The 19493-nt window shown below is 41.9% G+C and overlaps 1 protein-coding gene and 1 long non-coding RNA gene across 86 annotated transcripts in view; both read left to right on the top strand.

Annotated features, from left to right (window-relative positions):
• The window catches only part of SNHG14 (small nucleolar RNA host gene 14), a 595855-nt gene that overhangs the window by 46255 nt on the left and 530107 nt on the right, over nucleotides 1–19493 (top strand). The window contains exon 3 of the long non-coding RNA NR_146177.1: nucleotides 16654–16727. This is a non-coding gene — a long non-coding RNA (small nucleolar RNA host gene 14). The remainder of the gene's footprint in view (nucleotides 1–16653; nucleotides 16728–19493) is intronic.
• The window catches only part of SNRPN (small nuclear ribonucleoprotein polypeptide N), a 155087-nt gene that overhangs the window by 46226 nt on the left and 89368 nt on the right, over nucleotides 1–19493 (top strand). For 71 of the 85 annotated variants that reach the window (NM_022807.5, NM_022808.5, NM_001400637.1 and 68 more), the window contains one exon: nucleotides 16654–16727. The exons of 10 other annotated variants lie outside the window; for them this stretch is intronic. The gene's annotated coding sequence lies outside the window, so the exon portion shown is untranslated. Of the gene's footprint in view, nucleotides 1–16653; nucleotides 16728–18267; nucleotides 18979–19493 lie in introns of all 85 variants that reach the window. 4 more of the 85 variants (NM_001400738.1, NM_001400745.1, NM_001400685.1 and 1 more) reach the window with 3 other exon arrangements.

Below are 19493 nucleotides of genomic sequence, written 5' to 3' on the forward strand. Positions count from 1 at the left end.
CCTAAAACAAGAGTTGAGAACTCTTTACTGTATACAGTTGGCCTGTTCTCCACCATGATTTCATACCATTTATTTATACTGTATTGAATATGATATGAAATTAGATATATTCAGTTCACATCTCCCTTATACTCCTTTATTTCATAGCTCGAATTGTTCCATTGTTGGCCATTGGAAGGTCTCTCAGTTGGCTCCCATATCATTTTGAAATAGCCACATTATTTTGGTTAGATTTTGCTTGTTTGGTGGTTCAATTGTAATGTTTCATAGTTTCTTACTTTCAGGCACTACAGGGTCCTCCAGGCCAATTGTGTTTATTTCGTGCCCAAGCCTGGTACCCATCATTTCTTCAAGGGTCCTAGTTTCTTTTATTGGAAAATGGCTTTTAAAACAAAGATACAGACCCAGGTATATTCACTGATACTGGGTCATCTGTCGATTTGAGGAGTAGTCAGCTGACAAAACAATGAAACGTACCTGTGTATACTAACCCACACATATACACATATGTGTAAATATTTCCTCATATGTTCATATATAACCTGATTAACTTAAACATAAATTCCTACTAATGTCTCCAGCACTACATGAATATAATATAACTTGAATCAATCTCCCCATTCCCACTACTTGGTTGTAACCCCCACTCTAACAGTGAGTGAGTTGGCCTTGTTAACTTAATCACCAAGTTAGAGGCTACATGCATAGTGGCTTCAGAATTGTTCATCCACACTCTCATGAAGAACAACATTACCAACTAAAGTACAGTGCTCATAGACAACTTCTTGGACCTTTAGATGCAGAATCTTCACTTTGTACCCAAGTTACTTAGGTCAGTTCTTTCCCCCGCCTCCCAGCTTCCTTTAGTGAGGTTATATCATACATTTCTTATTCATTTTTCTTATTTTCTCTGTATTCCTCTATGGGATCCCTCAACCTACAAATAATTATTTTCTCTGTATTCCTCTATGGGATCCCTCAACCTACAAATAATTTTTTTTTTTTGGTTTTTTGTTTGTTTGTTTCTTTGTTTTTTGAGATAGAGTCTCACTCTGTCACCCAGCCTGGAGTGCAATGGTGTGTTCTTGGCTCACTGCAGCCTCCGCCTCCCAGGTTCCAGCAATTATCTTGCTTCAGCTTCCCAGGTAGCTGAGATTACAGGCACGCACCACCACGCCCGGCTAATTATTTGGTATTTTTAGCAGAGATGGGGTTTCACTATGTTGGCCAAGCTGGTCTCAAATACCTGACCTCAGGTAATCCACCCACCTCGGTCTCCCAAGTCTCCCAAGTGCTAGGATTACAGGCGTGAGCCACCATGCCTGGCTTACAAATAATATTTTTAATTTCCGTACATTTAGGTTCACTGTTTGTATTATAAAGTTATGCAGGGTTTCAAAAACAATATGATGTAGCGACCATGCAGGAAGTTTTTATTACCCTAAAGAAATTCCATCTACTTCACCTATTTCACTGTCCTCCTTGGAGAGTCCCTAGTTAGCATTAATCTGTTTACTATCTCTATTATTTTACCTTTCCCAGGGTGTCATATACATGGAATTGCACAGTCTGTCATCTTTTCAAACTGGCTTCCTTAACTTAAAAATATGCCTTTAATTTTATGAAGTATATCTTACGGTGATTTAGATTTGCATTGCTGAAGGACTAATGATGTCAATCATCTTTTTATGTGCCCTTTGGGGATACATATTCTTTGAAGAAATGTCTATTTATACAATTTACCCATTTTTAGTTGGTATTTGTCTTTTATTTTTTGAGATGTGACAATCTTTTATATATTCTGAACAGTAGACCCTCATTACCTATATGACTAGCAAATATTTTGTCTCTTTTTTTTTTGAGACAAAGTCTCGCTCTGTTGCCCAGGCTAGAGTGCAGTGGTGCAATCTTGGCTCACTGCAAGCTCCGCCTCCCCGGTTCACACCATTCTCCTGCCTCAGCCTCCCAAGCAGCTGGGACTACAGGCGCCCACCACCACGCCTGGCTAATTTTTTTGTACTTTTAGCAGAGACGGGGTTTCACCATGTTAGCCAGGATGGTCTCGATCTCCTGACTTCATGATTCGCCCACCTCAGCCTCCCAAAGTGCTAGGATTACAGGCGTAAGCCACCACGCCCGGCCTTTTGTCCTCTTTTTAGGGTTGTTTTATACTTCTTGATAGTATATGTTGAATGACAAACATTTTAAAAAATAGATGAATTTATCTATTTTTGCTTCTGTTACTTGTGTTTTTTGTGTTATATCTTAGAAACCATTAATTTCAGACCATGAAGATACATTTTTAAAATAACTTTTTTTTTGAGACATGAGTATCACTTTTGTTGCCCAGGTTGGAGTGCAGTGGCACAATCTCAGCTCACTGCAACCTCTGCCTCCTGGGTTCAAGTGATTCTCCTGCCTCAGCCTCCCAAGAGGCTAGGATTACAGGTGCCTGCCACCACACTAGGCTAATTTTGTATTTTTAGTAGAGACAGGGTTTCACCATTTTGGCCAGGCTGGTCTCAAACTCCTGACCTCAGATGATCCACCCACCTACCATACCCAGTCAAAAATACATTTTTTTTTGGAAAATATAGTTTAGGCTGGGCGCAGTGGCTCACGCCTGTAATCCCAGCACTGTGGGAGGCCAAGGCGGGCGGATCACCTGAGGTTGGGAGTTCGAGACCAGCCTGACCAACATGGAGAAACCCCGTCTCTACTAACAATAAAAAAATTAGCTGAGTGTGATGAAACATGCCTGTAATCCCACCTACTTGGCAGGCTGAGACAGCAGAATCGCTTGAACCTGGGAAGCAGAGGTTGTGGTGAGCTGAGATCCCACCATTACACTCCAGCCTGGGCAATAAGAGTGAAACTCCGTCTCGAAAAAAAAAAAAAAAAAAAAAGCTGGGTGCGGTGGCTTACGCCTGTAATCCCAGCACTTTGTGAGGCTGAGGCGGGCGGATCACACTGCACTCCAGCCTGGGTGACAGAGCGAGACTCCGTCTCAAAAAAAAAAAAAAAAAAAAAAAAATAGTTTTCCTCATTGAATTGCCTTGGCAACTTTTGCAATCCATAGACCATAAATGTCAGGGTTAATCTTTGGACAGTCACTTATATTCCATTGACCTATATCACTGTCCTTATGCCAGTACCACAATGTCCTCATTACTATCACTTTATATTGTTTAGAAATCCCATAATCCAACTTTGTTCTGCTTCTCATTACCAGTGTGGTTCTTTTAGATCTCATGAATTTCCATATGAATTTTAGAATCAGCTTACCAATTACTCCCGCCTTGCCCGCAAAAAAAAAGCAACAGGGATTCCCATAGCACAACGACATCACTCTGCTGGACAGCAAGAGGGTGTGTTCAGGAACCATACCTAGTCTACAAAGCCATGGGACTACATACCACAGTCCCAGGGACAACCACAAAATCAAGACTCTTCTTTTGTTTTTGTTTCTTTTTTTTTTTTTTGAAACGGAGTATTGCTCAGTCACCCAGGCTGGAGTGCAATGGCACGATCCCGACTCACTGCAACCTCTGCCTCCTGGGTTCAAGCAATTCTCCTGCAAATATTTTGTCTCTCTTTTTTTTTGAGACAAAGTCTCGCTCTGTTGCCCAGGCTAGAGTGCAGTGGTGCAATCTTGGCTCACTGCAAGCTCCGCCTCCCCGGTTCACACCATTCTCCTGCCTCAGCCTCCCAAGCAGCTGGGACCACAAGTGCCCACCACCACGCCTGCCTAATTTTTTGTATTTTTAGTAGAGACGGGGTTTCACCGTGTTAGCCAGGATGGTCTCGATCTCCTGACCTCGTGATCCACCTGCCTCGGCCTCTCAAAGTGCTGGGATTACAGACGTGAGCCACCGTGCCTGGCCAACTCTTCTTTTTATGGTCTGAAATCACGGAGTATATTCTCTACATCTCATTCCTACCTTCAATGAGGAAATTAGTTCCTGGGATCTGATGACCTGGAGTGAGAGATGCAGCTGATCTAGACCACATTTCTCACTTCTGAGATCAGAATAGCAAATATGTATGTACTAGTAATTTGGACATTTGCAATTCAAGAAACCTCGCACCTCCCACAGCATACTTCATTCACTCCATGAGAAAAAAACAAACTCACTTAAATATTCATCTTCAGAAAAAAAAAAAAAAGGCTGCCCGCTGCGGTGGCTCACGCCTGTAATCCACTTTGGGAGGCCAAGGCTGGCAGATCACGAGGTCAGGAAATCGAGATTATCCTGGCTAACACAGTGAAACCTCGTCTCTACTAAAAATACAAAAAATTAGCCGGGCGTGGTGGCAGGCGCCTGTAGTCCCAGCTACTTGGGAGGCTGAGGCAGGAGAATGGCATGAACCCGGGAGGTGGAGCTTGCAGTGAGCCAAGATCGCACCACTGCACTCCAGCCTGGGTGACAGAGTGAGACTCTGTCTCAAAAAAAAAAAAAAAAAAAAAAAAGGCAGAGTGGCAGACCAAAAACGAGCCATATGTCAATCTGGAGTAGGAGTGACCAATGTCAGAGTGGAAAATGAGGGCTGATGAGCTTTGGTTCTCAGGCTTTAGAGTAAAGGTGGTAGATGCAAAACTGTCTATCCACCGTGGGTTTATACTGATAAGTGGGCAGTAAATGAAAGAATAGTGTAATCAGCTGATGTTAGAGTGCACCTTTTAACAACGTTCAAGTACAGATGCATCTTAAAATTGACATTGTAAAAACAAAGTTTGCCAGAATCTAGTCATAATATGGCTGTCCTTGTCTGCACATGCATGAACTTGATCTGAAAACCTTTGATTGACGTCTTCTGGTGATATGATCACCATCAAAACTTACAGAGATGCTGTCAGTAGGTTGAATAATCTCATAAATAGGAGAGTAGGACTCTGTCAAGAAATGTGATGTCACCAAAGTTCCTGATTAGCAAAGATGATGACAATGTGGGGTAAATCATGGACAGGGTGTGTTGAAGGTGATTCAGAAGAGTTTGATCTGAGTGACAGGAATTTTAGGAATGCTGTTGTTAGTGTATTCTGCTTATATTTTCCATCTTTGTCATCATAGAAGTGATATAAGACTAATACCTGCATTTATAGTAGTTGAAAGTTTTTTTCAGTAATAATATAAAATTGTAAGTGATAAGATGTATTTGTCCTATAGTCTACGAATTTATTCCTATATTGTGACATAAAATAATGATGCATTTTACAATTGACTCAAATAATAACTATTTCAATTCCTTAGAAAACACTGTATGAGAAAATGCTGACTTCATGTTTAGTATAGATGTGCTATTAGTCTACAGGTTTTAAGTATTATTAGTTCATTCAATTCTCACAACATTTCAAGAGGTAGGCAATATTACCACTCCCAAGTTCCAGTTGTGAATCTGAGCTAAAGCCTTACAGGAAAAGAGTAGAAAAACCTGAGCTTGACTTTGTCTGTCTCCAGAATCTTTGTTTACATCAACTATGTTAGAATATCTTTTCTATGATAAATACATCCTAAGTCTAGTTTCAGAAATTGTGCTTTACACAATAGTCATGAAATTATTTTTCTCAATTTCAATCTAAATGCTACATTAAATCGTTTTTAAGTTCAGGTCAATGAACCATCTGGTGATCATTTTGTATGTAATGTGAGGTCAAAGGTGAGATTTTTATTCCCTCCCCCACCGCAACAGAAGAATATTCAATTTCCTAGAACATTGATAGAAAAATCAATTTTCCCCCCATTGAACTTTAATATGTATGTATAAGAGTTTTCCACTGGGCATGGTAGCTCACACCTGTAATCCCAGCAATTTAAGTGGCTGTGGTGTGAGGACTGCTTGAGCCCAGGAGTTTGAGAAAGGCCTAGGCAACATAGCAAAACACTGTCTCTACAGAAATAAAAATTTTAGGCCGGGTGCGGTAGTTCATGCCTGTAATCCCAGCACTTTGGGAGGCTGAGGCGGGCAGATCACCTGAGGTCAGGTGTTCGAGACCAGCCTGGCCAACATAGTGAAACCCCATCTCTACCAAAAATACAAAAACTAGCCAGACATGGTGGCACATGCCTGCAGTCCTAGCTACTCGGGAGGCTGAGGCAGGAGAATCGCTTGAACCTGGCAAGTGGAGGTTGCAGTGAGCCGAGACTGTGCCACTGCACTCCAGCTTGGGCAGCAGAGTGATACTTTGTCTCAAAAAAAAAAGAAAAAAAACAAAAAAAATAAAAATTTTAAAAATAAGGAGTGTTCAACACTCTTTCTACTTGCTAACACTTATGCAGGTTCAAATCTTGCCTTTTAATATTTGTTTTTAATTTGTCTTGCAGACTAATGTCTTTATCACTTGTGTACATTTTTTTTCCTTTGGCCACATAAGTATCATCTACAACCCAAAATACATTTCTCCTTTATTTAAAGCACAAGTCAAGCAGACGTTCAACAAATAGGCAATAAAAATCAGATTAAAGATACTGTAGGTCCAGGAGCTGTGGCTCATGCCTTTAATCTCAACACTTTGGGAAGCTGAGATGGTGGATCACCTGAGGTCAGGAGTTTGAGACCAGCCTGGCCAACATGGTGAAACGTCTTCTCTGCTAAAAATACAAAAATTAGCTGAGTGTGGTGGCGTGCGCCTGTAATCCAAGCTACTCAGGAGGCCGAGGCAGGAGAATCGCTTGAGCCCAGGAGGCAGAGGTTGCAGTGAGCTGAGATTGCTCCACTGCGCTCCAGCCTGGGCCACAGAGCGAGACTCCATCTCAAAAAAAAAAAAAAAAAAGATGCTGTAGTAGGAAATGTGCATTACTCTGTTGAAATCCACAAAATGCATGAGCATACAACCCAAATTTAAGTGGTAATTGAAGGTTTCCTCGAAGAGGCAGTTTGTGATTGAATAGATGAAGAATAAGCAGCTGAAAACCATGTAAATTAGAACTAATAAATAACAAAGGATGATTAGTATTGAGGTAGAGAATGGGAATGTATAGAATGCAAAAAAAATTGAGACATCGCAAGGAGAGCAGCAATTTCAGTACACTTGAAGGAAGCTAGAAATATATACCAGGGCTAGATTTTTAAGATATTTAATGCCGTGTCAATGTGTTGGTATTTTATAATTTTCTGTAGTTCCAGACATTAGCTAGGGTGTGCTCACTTAGGAACACAGCTGTTGAAATTGTAAAATGAGAATTTGGGTCTCATACATTTGAAGAAAAAAATATATGGGGTTTAGGTTCAGATTCTGTACAGACAAAGGAAAAGTATGGGTGGGGAAAATGTGAGACAGCCTGAGGTCCAGGAAAAATGGCCACAGAAAATTTTCGTATTTTCAGATAAAATCTACTCTTCAAGTTAGACCTCCCTACGAAAGATGCTAGTTCAATAATGAATTCTCCACCTGGAAAAGGACATTTCAGCTCCAAGTCCAGGTTGCTTTCATGCCTTAAAGTCACCTTATTTGTATTTCAGAAGCACGTGCTACACTAGCTTTAGGGAATGAAGAACCATGTGCTGACAGTGCCATCTAGCATCAACAGAAACAGGAACCAATGGCAACCTAAATAAGTACAGAAAAAAAGGTGGGGTCCAGGAACCAAGAATGACTGCTGATTTGAGCAGGATTTTTACAATTTGTTTTAAAACTTAAACATAATGCATAGATGCTGTGGAATTAAAAAATGCAACCTAGGCCGGGCGCGGTGGCTGACGCCTGTAATCCCAGCACTTTGGGAGGCCAAGGCCGGCGGATCACCTGAGGTCAGGAGTTCAAGACCAGCCTGGCCAATATGGTGAAACATCTCTACAAAACACACACACACACACACACACACACACACACACAAACACACTAGCCGGGCGCAGTGGCGCGCGCCTGTAATCCCAGCTACTCGGGAGGTTGGGGCAGGAGAATCGCTTGAACCCGGGAGGAGGATGTTGTGGTAAGCCAAGATCGGGCCACTGCCTGGCGACAGAGCGAAACTCCGTCTAAAAAAGAAAAAAAATGCAATCTAATAATGTCCAGCAACGATACAGGGAAGCCTGGCCCATGCTCACTTTTCCAGTCACCTGCTCTTAAGTAGTGCACGGGTTAAAGAACGATGTGAGTGCTAGTGGCTGATTCTTTCACTTACAAACATGCATGTACACGATTGTGTTACCATGGACAAACACATAAAATTTGATTGTAAAACTAGTTGACTCTTAACTGTGACACATTAAATCCTTGAGTAAATGAGTGTGTGTTTCCATACATATATTCAGTACCACTACAGTTCACAAAATGAACGGGACTTCTTAGGTTAAAGCCTTGTTAAGTTATTCTTTAAAACGCTTTCCAATCTGATAGAGAGCTCTGGCGTATTCGCTCAAGTTTCCGTGGCGGGTCTAGGGCTCCTGAAGCCCCACGGGTCTCACTGCTACCCACATGGCTATTACCGCAACCACCGCTGCCACGCAGCCCGCAAGAAATGTGCCACCGTTCTGAGCGGCCGACAAACCCGCAGTGCGCTACGGGAAGGTCACCTGACAGTTGGGGAGAACGGCAGCCCGCAGGGGCCGATCTTCGGCGCGCCTGCACAGCGCAGGCGGAATTGGGGCGCCTTTTCTCCTTCCGGTTTCCGTTTCCGTGCGCCCCGAGGGTCTGTTCCGCTTATGGCGCCCGCCGGGAGTCTCCCTTTCTTCGCAAGCGTTAACCTGCGTTTTACTCGTAAAAATTTGCTTTCTAGGCTTCGTATAATTGTTCTGGTCTTGCACTTTATGTGTGCATTAGCCTTGAGTTTGCTTGTTGTTTTCCCATGAAAAATTGTATTGTATTTCTGTAACAGCCCCTCCTCTTGTTACATAAACATTGACCAGTAATTGTATATCCTTCCCTCTCAATATTAACAATTTTATCTTTTTTGCGTTCTTTGAAAAAAACGAAATCCTTTTCAAAAATACTGAACTTGTCATTTTTAAGAAATGAGATACTACTTTAATCATTTCTGTATTGTCCTTAAGATTCTTTATATATTCTTTATTGTTTATCTTTTCCACTAATATACCTTTAATATGAGAGGACTTGTAGAGGCTTCAGGGTCACACTTTCGAAACCCAGAGTTTTAGTATCTCCTTATAGAATATTTGTAATTTAAGAAAAATTATACAAGGTTGAATTTTCAAAAATATATTTTTAAAATATATTTAAAAAAGTATTTTTAAATATAGTCCTCCGGAATGCAAAAGGACAATACTACTTTCAGCTAGTACTTTTTAAGTGATTATTTTCCGCCACGTATTCTTTTGAAATTATGCATTTAGGCCGGGTGCGGTGGCTCACGCCTGTAATCCTAGCACTTTGGGCGGCCGAGGCAGGCAGATTGCCTGAGCTCGGGGGTTCGAGACCAGCCTGGGCAACACGGTGAAACCTCGTCTCTACTAAAATACAAAAGAAATTACCCGGGGGTGGTGGTGTTCGCCTGTAGTCCTAGCTACTCGGGAGGCTGAGGCAGGAGAATTGCTTGAACCTGGGAGGCGGTGGTTGCAGTGAGCCGAGATCCCGCCACTGCACTCTAGCCTGGAGGACAGAGTGCGATTCTGTCTCTACAAAAAAAAAAGAAAGAAAGAAATTATACATTTAATTGAAGCTCAGAAAATATATGTGTGATGTTTTCTATGAAATGAAACATTGTTTAGATGAGAAAATAAATGTAAAATGCATTTGCCTTTTCAAAGCAGCAATTAGTGGCGAAGTGTGAATACAAAACCAGTCTTCTTTCTGCAGAGACCATGTCTGTCACCCTTGTGCTGGAATGAACAACATCACATATTTTTTTGTTTGCATATGGCCTGAGGGTCAAATTCTGCCCAGCATGTTTGCTTTCTTTTTTAAATAAATATTTATTGGAACACAGCTATGCTGTTCATTTTTGTATTGCCGATAGCTGCCTTAATGCTACAATGGCAGTAGTTGCAAGAGACAGAATGACCCATAAAACCAAAATTATATACTCTCTAGCCTTCCTATCACCCACTGTTCTGTCTGGTGTTGGGGCAATTCAGTCTTTGGTATGCTAATTTGGATGAGATTCACACTTGGGCTGTTGGAGAGGAGTGGGTGAACCTGTTGAGTTAATCAGCAACTCCAAGAGGTCCATTTCCCAAGCATCTTTCCTTCCATAACTTCACAGTAATTTTCGTTTCCTTATGTCTCCTCTGGCCAATATTTTTCTACTTCTGGGGTAGGCGGTCAGAGGAAAGAGAAAAAAAGGAAAATGGTGAAGTTGGACCCACTGTCTTGGACCTATGACGACTCCTGGCAGAGAAAGGTTTTCCCACTTTTCGTTTTTGTTCTTGTGAACTCCCTGAGCAGCCACTGTCATGACAACATGATGGTCTGAGAGGTGGAGTAGAAGAGATTGGAGAAAAGGGCGACAGAGTGAGACCTTGCCTCTAAAAGAGGGGGGTGGTGGTGGAGGGATGGGAGGAAAGGGGGATTCTTCACTCTTGAGTTCCGTTTTCAATCCTCGAACTTTTCCTGGAGCCCGCAGTCTGCACCACAGCCTCACTTCTGGGTTTCTGCCTGTCTTAAATTCAGGCCTGGGGATAAGTGAGTGGTAAAAATTAAAATTCATCACCAATTTAGTAGTACTTCACAGTCCAGTGTTATTCCTTCATTTCTGTTACTACTTAGTCCTCAAACAGCTGTTCCATACATTTTATCCAAGTTTTATAGCTATATTCAGTAGGAGAGACAGGGCAGAAAATACTTTTTCTTTCCTGAAAATGGAACCCTAATGGGAGCCTGATGAATTTTTTAATTGAAGCCAAAATAAAAAAATTAATATGTGCTCATAAATTCATATTTATACTCATAAAATATGACATTCAACCCAAGTTCTTCATTTTAACACTTACGCCTTTTTTTTTGAGACAGAGTCTTGCTCTGTTGTCCAGGCTGGAGTGGAATGGCATGATCTTGGCTCACTGCAACCTCTGTCATCAGCGTTCAAGCAATTCTTGTGCCTCACTACCGGGTCTTACTACATTGCCCAGGCTGGTCTCGAACTTCTGGGCTCAAGTGATCCTCCCGCCTTGGCCTCCCGCAGTGCTGTGATTACAGGCATAAACCTCTACAAATTTTAATCTACAAAAAACAAAATTATATTCGCTTTACCTGTGTGACATTTGAATAATGACGGTCCATGCAGGCTTTACATTTCACTTTTATGAACTAAAAAAAAATTGAGCCTCCACAGGGCAAGTCCTCTGCTGTGCATGGAAGATAGGCAGGTGTTCAAAGCATAGAAAGGTACTGCTGCCCCAGGTAATGCAGTCAAGAGGGAATTCAAGCATATGGAGGTGATTTTCATTGCTATCAAGAGTGTGGTTTAAAAAGTCACAGTAAGGGCTGGATGTGGTGGCTCATGCCTGTAATCTCAGCACTTTGGGACGCCAAGGCAGGTGGATCACCTGAGGTCAGGAGTTCGAGACCAGCCTGGCCAACATGGTGAAACCTTGTCTCTACTAAAAATACAAAAAAAAAACAATGAGCTGGGCATGGGGGTGGACACCTGTAATCCCAGCTACTTGGGAGGCTGAGGCAGGAGAATTGCTTGAACCTGGGAGGCAGAGGTTGCAATGTGCTGAGATTGTGCCATTGCACTCCAGCCTGGGCAACAAGAGCGAAACTCCGAGAGAGAGAGAGAGAGAGAGAGAGAGAGGGAGGGAGGGAGGGAGGGAGGGAGGGAGGGAGAGAGAGAGAGAGAGAGAGAGAGAGAGAGAGAGAAAGTCACAGTAAGGCACCCTAGCAGAGTGAAACAAAAACTAAAAAAAAATCGTGTTCCAGCATAGGCCTGAGCATTTAAAAATCGAAGAACCGTGGAAATATTAACAATTACATAAAGTGCATCTAGATTTTGAAGTCATTTCATGCAATATTCATGAGTTCTGGGTTTATCAGTTATTCCTCAGCTTTATTTGGTGTATCAGTTTTAGGAATGTGTATGTATAATCGTCAAGTCTTCTATCTGAAAGGTACCAGAACAAAGCCTGGCTTTAGGATCAGATCCTGGGCAGGCAAAAGAGCGCTAGAGGCGGAACAAGATATCCTTCCTATCTGAAGTGGCCATGGGTTTTCAACTGACAGCCTTCTCCTCATCCACTTCCACCTTCCCCGATGCTCTCAGAGGTAGACTATGAAGGCCTCTCCCTAACCACTTTCTAGCTGCCTCTTCATATCCTTAGTGTATCATTTCTCCAAGCTGTAGGTGTCCTGCTAATTGATTTTGAATTTTTATGTTCTTCTGTGTGCGAATGATTAAATATTAAATACAAAAGTCGGTTCATTTGTTTGTTTTTTCCAGGCTTGTAATCTCTAACTTTCATTTTTGCTACAAAGCCTTTAAAAAAAAAATTCAGTTACTCTAGATTCAGATTTTAATTAAAATTTATTTTTGAAGGTAAACATCTTACATAAAATTTGGCTAAAAGGGAAGAAAAAAAACTACCTAAAGTTTATGTGGTCATCCTACTTGCAATATTTTAGCAAGCATGATTTTTATTTAATGAGTTTCAAAAATTTTGACAATGAATACTATCACAGAGACTAAGAGTGTGTGATTTCTTCCACTTTCATAGCACAGATGCTCCTCGACTTACAATGGGGTTATGTCCCCAATAAACCCATCATAAATTGAAAGTATCTTAAGTTGGCCAGGCACGGTGGCTTACGCCTGTAATTCCAGCACTTTGGGAGGCTGAGGCAGGTGGATCATGAGGTCAGGAGTTCGAGACCAGCCTGACCAACATGGTTAAATCCTGTCTCTACTAAAAATACAAAAATTAGCTGGGCGTGGTGGTGCACATCTGTAATCCCAGCTACTCAGGAGGCTGAGGAGAAGAATCGCTTGAACCCAGGAGGCAGATGTTGCAGTGAGCCGAGATCATACCACTGCACTCCAGCTTGGGCGACAGAGCGAGACTCCATCTCAAAAAAAAAAATATATATATATATAGTGAGTTGAAATGCATTTAATATATCTAATCTATTGAATATCATTGATTGGCCCAGCCTTGAGCACTTAAATTTGCTCAAAACACTTACATTAGCCTACATTTGGGCAAAATCATCAAACACAAAGTCTATTTTATAATAAAGTGTTGAATATCTCATGTAATTCATAAAATACTGGAAGTGAAAAACAATGGTTGTGTGAATTCTCAAAGTTCAGTTTCTACTGAATGCTTATCACTGTCACACCATCATAAAGTTGAAAAATTGTAAGTTGAACCATCTTAAGTTGGGGACTATCTGTACTGTGAAATTCCAACTTCTGGACAGTCAAGAAGGAAGCCAGTAAAATCAGAAACCAGCGGCTTTGCAGCCAAGTAAGCAGGGAGGCCAAGCGTATTCCTTGGATGGTCTGCGGTGGGCAGTCTCTGCCAGGATGTGCCCACTTAGCACACACAGCCCTGTACATCAGCCTGCAGGAAAGGCACCTTGGCCAGAGCCTCGGGCTCACCCTAGAGCACTATAGAAAGGTCATCTGGCTGTCTGGGAGGACAGTAGCCCACAGGGGCTGAAGCTGGGCACACCCACTGGGTGGCTCAGGGCCAGTTTTATAATCCCTACCCCCTCAACAAACACACTCCACTCTTGACCACTGCACTCCAACCTCTGTCCCTGCATCCTCCACCAGGCTTTACACCTGCAATTGCACTTTGGATAATAACAGGCATCATTGGCAATATCTTACACTCTATCATTTCAGATAAAGCCTTGAAAAATATGTGCAATTATATCTGTGCTTCTTTGTGGATATATGTTTTATTATATTCACTATATGATTATAATAATATTAGTTACTACTAGTATTTATCAAGAATGTAGGGCTGAAGCTGGGCACAGTGGCTCATGCCTGTAATTCCAGCATTTTGGGAGGCTGAAGCAGGTGTATCACTTGAGGTCAGGAATTTGAGACTAGCCTGGCCAACATGGTGAAACCTGATCTCTACTGAAAATACAAAAATTAACCGGGCATTTATGCCTGTAGTCTCAGCTACTCGGGAGGCTGAGGCACGAGAATTGCTTGAGCCTGGGAGGTGGAGGTTGCAGTGAGCTGAGATCGTGTCACTGCACTCCAGCTGGGACAACAGAGCCCCACTCTGTCTAAAAAAAAAAAAAAAAAGAATGTAGGGCTGGGCATGGTGGCTCACGCCTGTAATCCCAGCATTTTGGGAGGCTGAAGCAGGAAGATTGCTTGAGCTCAGGAGTTCAAGACCAGCCTGGGCAACATGGCATAACCCTGCCTCTACAAAAAAAAAAAAAAAAGATCTATATACACACACACAAATGCCAGGCATGGTGACACATGCCTGTGGTCCCAACTACTTGAAAGGTTGAGGTGGGAGGATCGCTTGAGCCCAGAAGGTCAAGGCTGCCGTGAGGCATGATGGATCCACGGCACTTCAGCCTGGGTGAAAGAGCGAGACCCTGTCTCAAAACACAAACAAACAAAAAGGGTGTAGTATATTCCTGGTATTGATTGTGCTTTTCATAGTTTAAAAGTAAGACTTGGTGTAAAGGTATGCATTGTGTAGTATAAATGCACAGAGAGGAAAGGAGAGATTGGGTACAAATTCAGGAAGGCATGAAGTGTTGATGTCATGACACTTAGCCCATCCTTGCTCTGCACAGACCACGTTTCTCACCACTGTGCTGGTATGTAGACACCAGCATGATCTTCTGAAGCCTCGGATAATTTGGTGTGGATAGCTTTCTTTTGGATTCTTTTAAATTTTGTTATCTTAAAGCTTTCCATAGTATTTCATATGGATAGGCCACAGTTACTTTCCATTTACTATTATACTTTTATATATTTTTTCTTATTTTGATATGAGAAACAATGTTGGAATAATCATGCCTAGACATAAATAAGCCAATTTCAAAATGTTTGTAGGGGAGACTCATAGTGTTGCCAGAAAAAGGGGCCCTGACCCAGACCCCAAAAGAGGGTTCTTGGATCTCTAGCAGGAAGGAATTCAAGGCGAGATGCAGAGTGCACTGAAAAGAGAGAGTTTATTGAAAGCTACTCAGCTATAGAGTAGAGCATCCTCAGAAAGCAAGAGGAGAAATGCCTTGTATTTAAGTTTTTTTTATGTAAGTGTCTTGTCTATGTAAAGACTAAACTAAGCTGTGTCTACGTGCAGATGGGTTGAGAGCATGACAAAATTTACTATTCTGTTGATTTAAAGAAAATGGTCCTTGACATTTTAGTAAGTACATCAAAGCCATAACTGTAAGTAACTTGAAAGCATATATTGTTATGGGTATTGGGACATCTGGATTTTGTGTTGTTGTAGGAGTGTATCCTTGCACCGGTAGCCTAGGTATTGTTAAGCTGTTTCCTCAATTATAAACATGACTATGGGTTGTGACCAGCAAGGAATGTGCCTTAGTTAATCTCAAGATGGAGCTGAACTTAAAATGCCATTACTTTGGCTCTAACCAGCTCCTGCTTCCATAACAGTGGGGTCAAAAGGTGTTCCTTTAAAATCTTCCTAGACACTGCCAAATTGCTTTTGGAAACTTCTCACCTGGTGAGATGGCATGAGTATCTTTGGCTCATTTTTCTACATAGACTTGGAAACAGTTTTATGTTTATAAAATATGTATCACCTCATTTATAAATTTGTTTGAATAATTTAACCATTTTGCTTTTATTAGCTATTTTGCTACTCTCTGTTTTCCTTGCCTGAGTCTTTCCCACATCTCTGCAACATTGTATCATTTCCCACACCTAAAACCAAAGAGGGACAGGCAAGCCAGTGGAGAGAGCAGAGGCTGATGAGAACGAAGGATTTTCCAGGAAGGAATCTGGGGCTGTGTGTGTGTGTGTGTGTGTGTGTGTGTGTGTGTGTATGTCTGGGTGTGTGAATATTGTTTTTATTAGCCTGTAGCCCACGTGTTGCATGGCCATATTTTTACTATCAGGATATAAAACACACTTACACACAGCTGCATACAAATGCAATGAGTTTATTTTTCATATACATTTCAAAATAATAGCGTGAACAGACCAGAACTCTTCTTCAAAGTTCAAGAATGTCCTCATGGATCCAGCATCCGTCTGGTTTCTGTTTCTGCATTCTCAGTACATAGCCTCACTTCTCTTTCTCCAATTTTGGAGGATGTGTAAAAAATTTTATTCTTAACCAAACATTAGTCAGGCTCCGGAACGTTCTCTTAACTCCATCCATGCACTTTCTTGTAAAATGCAGTTTTAACAAGAACACTGCTAAGTTAGTTTAGCAAGACCCCCACACCTTAGACATCTGATCACCTTCTATATCTTATCAGGTTCCTCATCCTCCACCATCCCTTAAGTGATCATCCCAGCTTGTCTTCAGCAAGAATCCTATTAGATCAATTTAGCCAGAATCCCTCTTGCCCCTGATGTTAATTCTTAGTAATTTTCCAACCACTAGTCCCCACCCTGTTCCTTGGCTATAAATTGCCACTTGCCCATGCTGTACTTAGAGTTACTTAGAGTTGAGTCTCACTCTCTCCCACACTGCAAGGCCCCATTACGGCGGTCCCTAAATCTATTGCAGTGGTCCCGAATAAAGTCTTCCTTACTATGCATTAACACGTATCATTGAATATGACTTTTTCTTTAACAGATACTTTGACGAAGGTAATTGGGACTCCCATCAAGTCTCCACACAGCTAGCAGCCACGTGGGGCACTTCTCCAGGTAAGGATTGTCCCTGTTCCACTTATGTTCCTGTCAGTAAAATGGTAGGTTCAGTGTCAGGCTTTACCATTTTCTTCAGGGAGAGACCCATCTGATATTTAGTCAGCCATCAGATGGGTCCAGCCATAGCACACATTAGCTGTGACATGACGTCGTTTATGACAATGACTTTGAGCAGAGTTGCACACCTAAAAAGGGACTCAATTAAAATTATCATTCATTTTAGTTATTTCTCAGATGCATTTATTATTTCCATTTTCCAAAACTCCTAATGTTACATTTCTTCTTCACATGTTAGATATGAACAAAGTAAGACTAACTGTGGCCACATCCTCTTTACTTAGGACCCTACCCAAAGTGGCAGGAATGGGATGTAAAGTGACATAATCAGACACAGTCAAACTGGCTTTTAATCGTTAAGTATCATTGTCATCTCAAAGCACTTGGCATAGTTACTGACCCCTTAAATGTCCTTTCTCCATCTTATCTTCTCCTTTGTTCTCTGTATCATCTTCCGGTCCTATAGAAATATATCCCCACGAGCACACACTGAGGTCTTTTTTTTTTTTTTTTTTTGAGACGGAGTCTTGCTCTGTTGCCCAGACTGGAGTGCAGTGGCATGATCTCAGCTCACTGCAACCTCTGCCTCTCGAGTTCAAGCGATTCTCCTGCCTCAGGCTCCCATGTAGCTGGGATTACAGGCATGCGCCACCATGCCTGGCTAATTTTTGTATTTTTAGTAGAGACAAGGTTTCACCATGTTGGCCAGGCTGCTCTCAAACTCCTGACCTCAGGTTATCCTCCGGCCTCGGCCTCCCAAAGTGCTGGGATTACCAGCATGAGCCATCGCACCTGGCCTCACTGAGGTCTTAATGCTGAGTTGAACTTTGTCTCTGGCCATGAGCATCAGTCCATGTATTATAATAGGTTTGGGTTGGGTGTGGTGGCTCACACCTGTAATCCCAGCACTTTGGGAGGCCGAGGCAGGCTCACAGGTAAACAATTTAGACAAAGTTTTCACATTCTCTGAGATTTGTATACATTGGAGATTCAGAAAAATGTAACCGAAAATTAAACTATAGGTGGAATAGCTGCCTTTGGGGGCTGAGAAGACAGGCATCAGACCTGGGATAGACAAGGGAGGCCTCTTGTTCCTTGAAATGATACCCCAGCCCATGAGGTCTGCATGCCAGGAAGCCAAATGAGTGAGGATGGTCTGTGTCCGCTGGGGAGGTCCCTGGATGTTGCCAAGAGGGATAGGGTCTGGGAAAGAGTGAGGATGGAGTCAGGCAGAGAGGACCCCCCAGGCTCATGGATGGACTGACCTGAGGACTTATATTAAGTCATAGGACAGTAGAGAAAGTAAGAGCCAAGCATAATGTAATCCTAACAATGTAAAAAGTATTAATCATTTTATTATTAGTTAATGTCACTGAACTGTACACTTAAAATGGCTAAAAAGGTAAATTTTAGGTTACATATATTTTACCGTAATATAAAATGACAAATATATTAGAAATGACTTTTTTTTTTTTTTGAGATGTAGTCTTGCTCTGTTGCCCGGGCTAGAATGCAGTGGCACAATCTCGGCTCACCACAACCTCCGCCTCCCAGGTTCAAGTGATTCTCCTGCCTCAGCCTCCCAAATAGCTGGGATTACAGGTGTCCGCCACCATGTCCAACTAATTTTTGTATTTTTAGTAGAGACAGGTTTCACTGTCTTGGCCAGGCTGGTCTCGAACTCCAGACCTCGTGATCCACCCACCTCGGGTTCCCAAAGTGCTGAGATTACAGGCGTGACCCACCACGCCTGGCCAGGAATGACTGTCAACTATATTTTCTTAACATATGTATTCCTACACAACATCAGTTTTGTAATAGTTTATTTTTGTTTTGTTTTGCAATTTTTTTCTTTTATTGTAAGGAAAGAAGTACATTTTTTCAGCGTGTAAGAATGCAAAAGTAATTATCAGATGTTTGTCACATCTTAACAAAATAGGACCTTATTTTCCTAGATGTTGCTGCATTCAGTCCCTTTCTTGGTATGGTAAAAGCATCAATCAGCCAGGGAGGCAACTATAAATACAGAAGAGCAGTTTCCTACAGATAGTCAACCATGCTACCCCTCTTACTGACTTAATTTTAATATTGGAGCCTGGCACAATTAACCTAGTTTCCTCGTAAACACAAGAACAACGTACTGCAATCAATGTAGGCATATACAGGCTCTTAAAGTTCTGAGAAGCAGCAAGTAAGTTCATCATTTACTAAGATCCTTGACATTCTTCTGTTTCTGTGAAATTTATGCATCTGTGAGAAGTTTCTTTTCTTTTTTTATTTTTTTTTGAGACAGAGTCTCGCTCTGTCACCCAGGCTGGAGTGCTGTGGCACAATCTTGGCTCACTGCAACCTGAACCTCTGGGGTTCATGCCATTCTCTTGCCTCAGCCTCCCGAGTAGCTGGAACTACAGGCACACGCCACCACACCTGGCTAATTTTTATATTTTTAATAGAGACAGGGTTTCACCATGTTGGCCAGGCTGGTCTCGAACTCCTGACCTCAGGTGATCCACCCACCTTGGCCTTCCAAAGTGCTGGGATTACAGGCGTGAGCCACCGTGCCCAGCTGAGAAGTTTCTTATACTAGAAGAAAAAGAAAATTTGATTTATTTTAAAATATAATGGTTTAGTCTGTAGCAAGTAATATTAATTTTTTTATTTTTTTATTTTTGAGACGGAGTCTCATTCTGTCACCCAGACTGGAGT

Source organism: Homo sapiens, chromosome 15, assembly GCF_000001405.40.
Source record: "Homo sapiens chromosome 15, GRCh38.p14 Primary Assembly".
Lineage (NCBI taxonomy): Eukaryota > Metazoa > Chordata > Mammalia > Primates > Hominidae > Homo > Homo sapiens.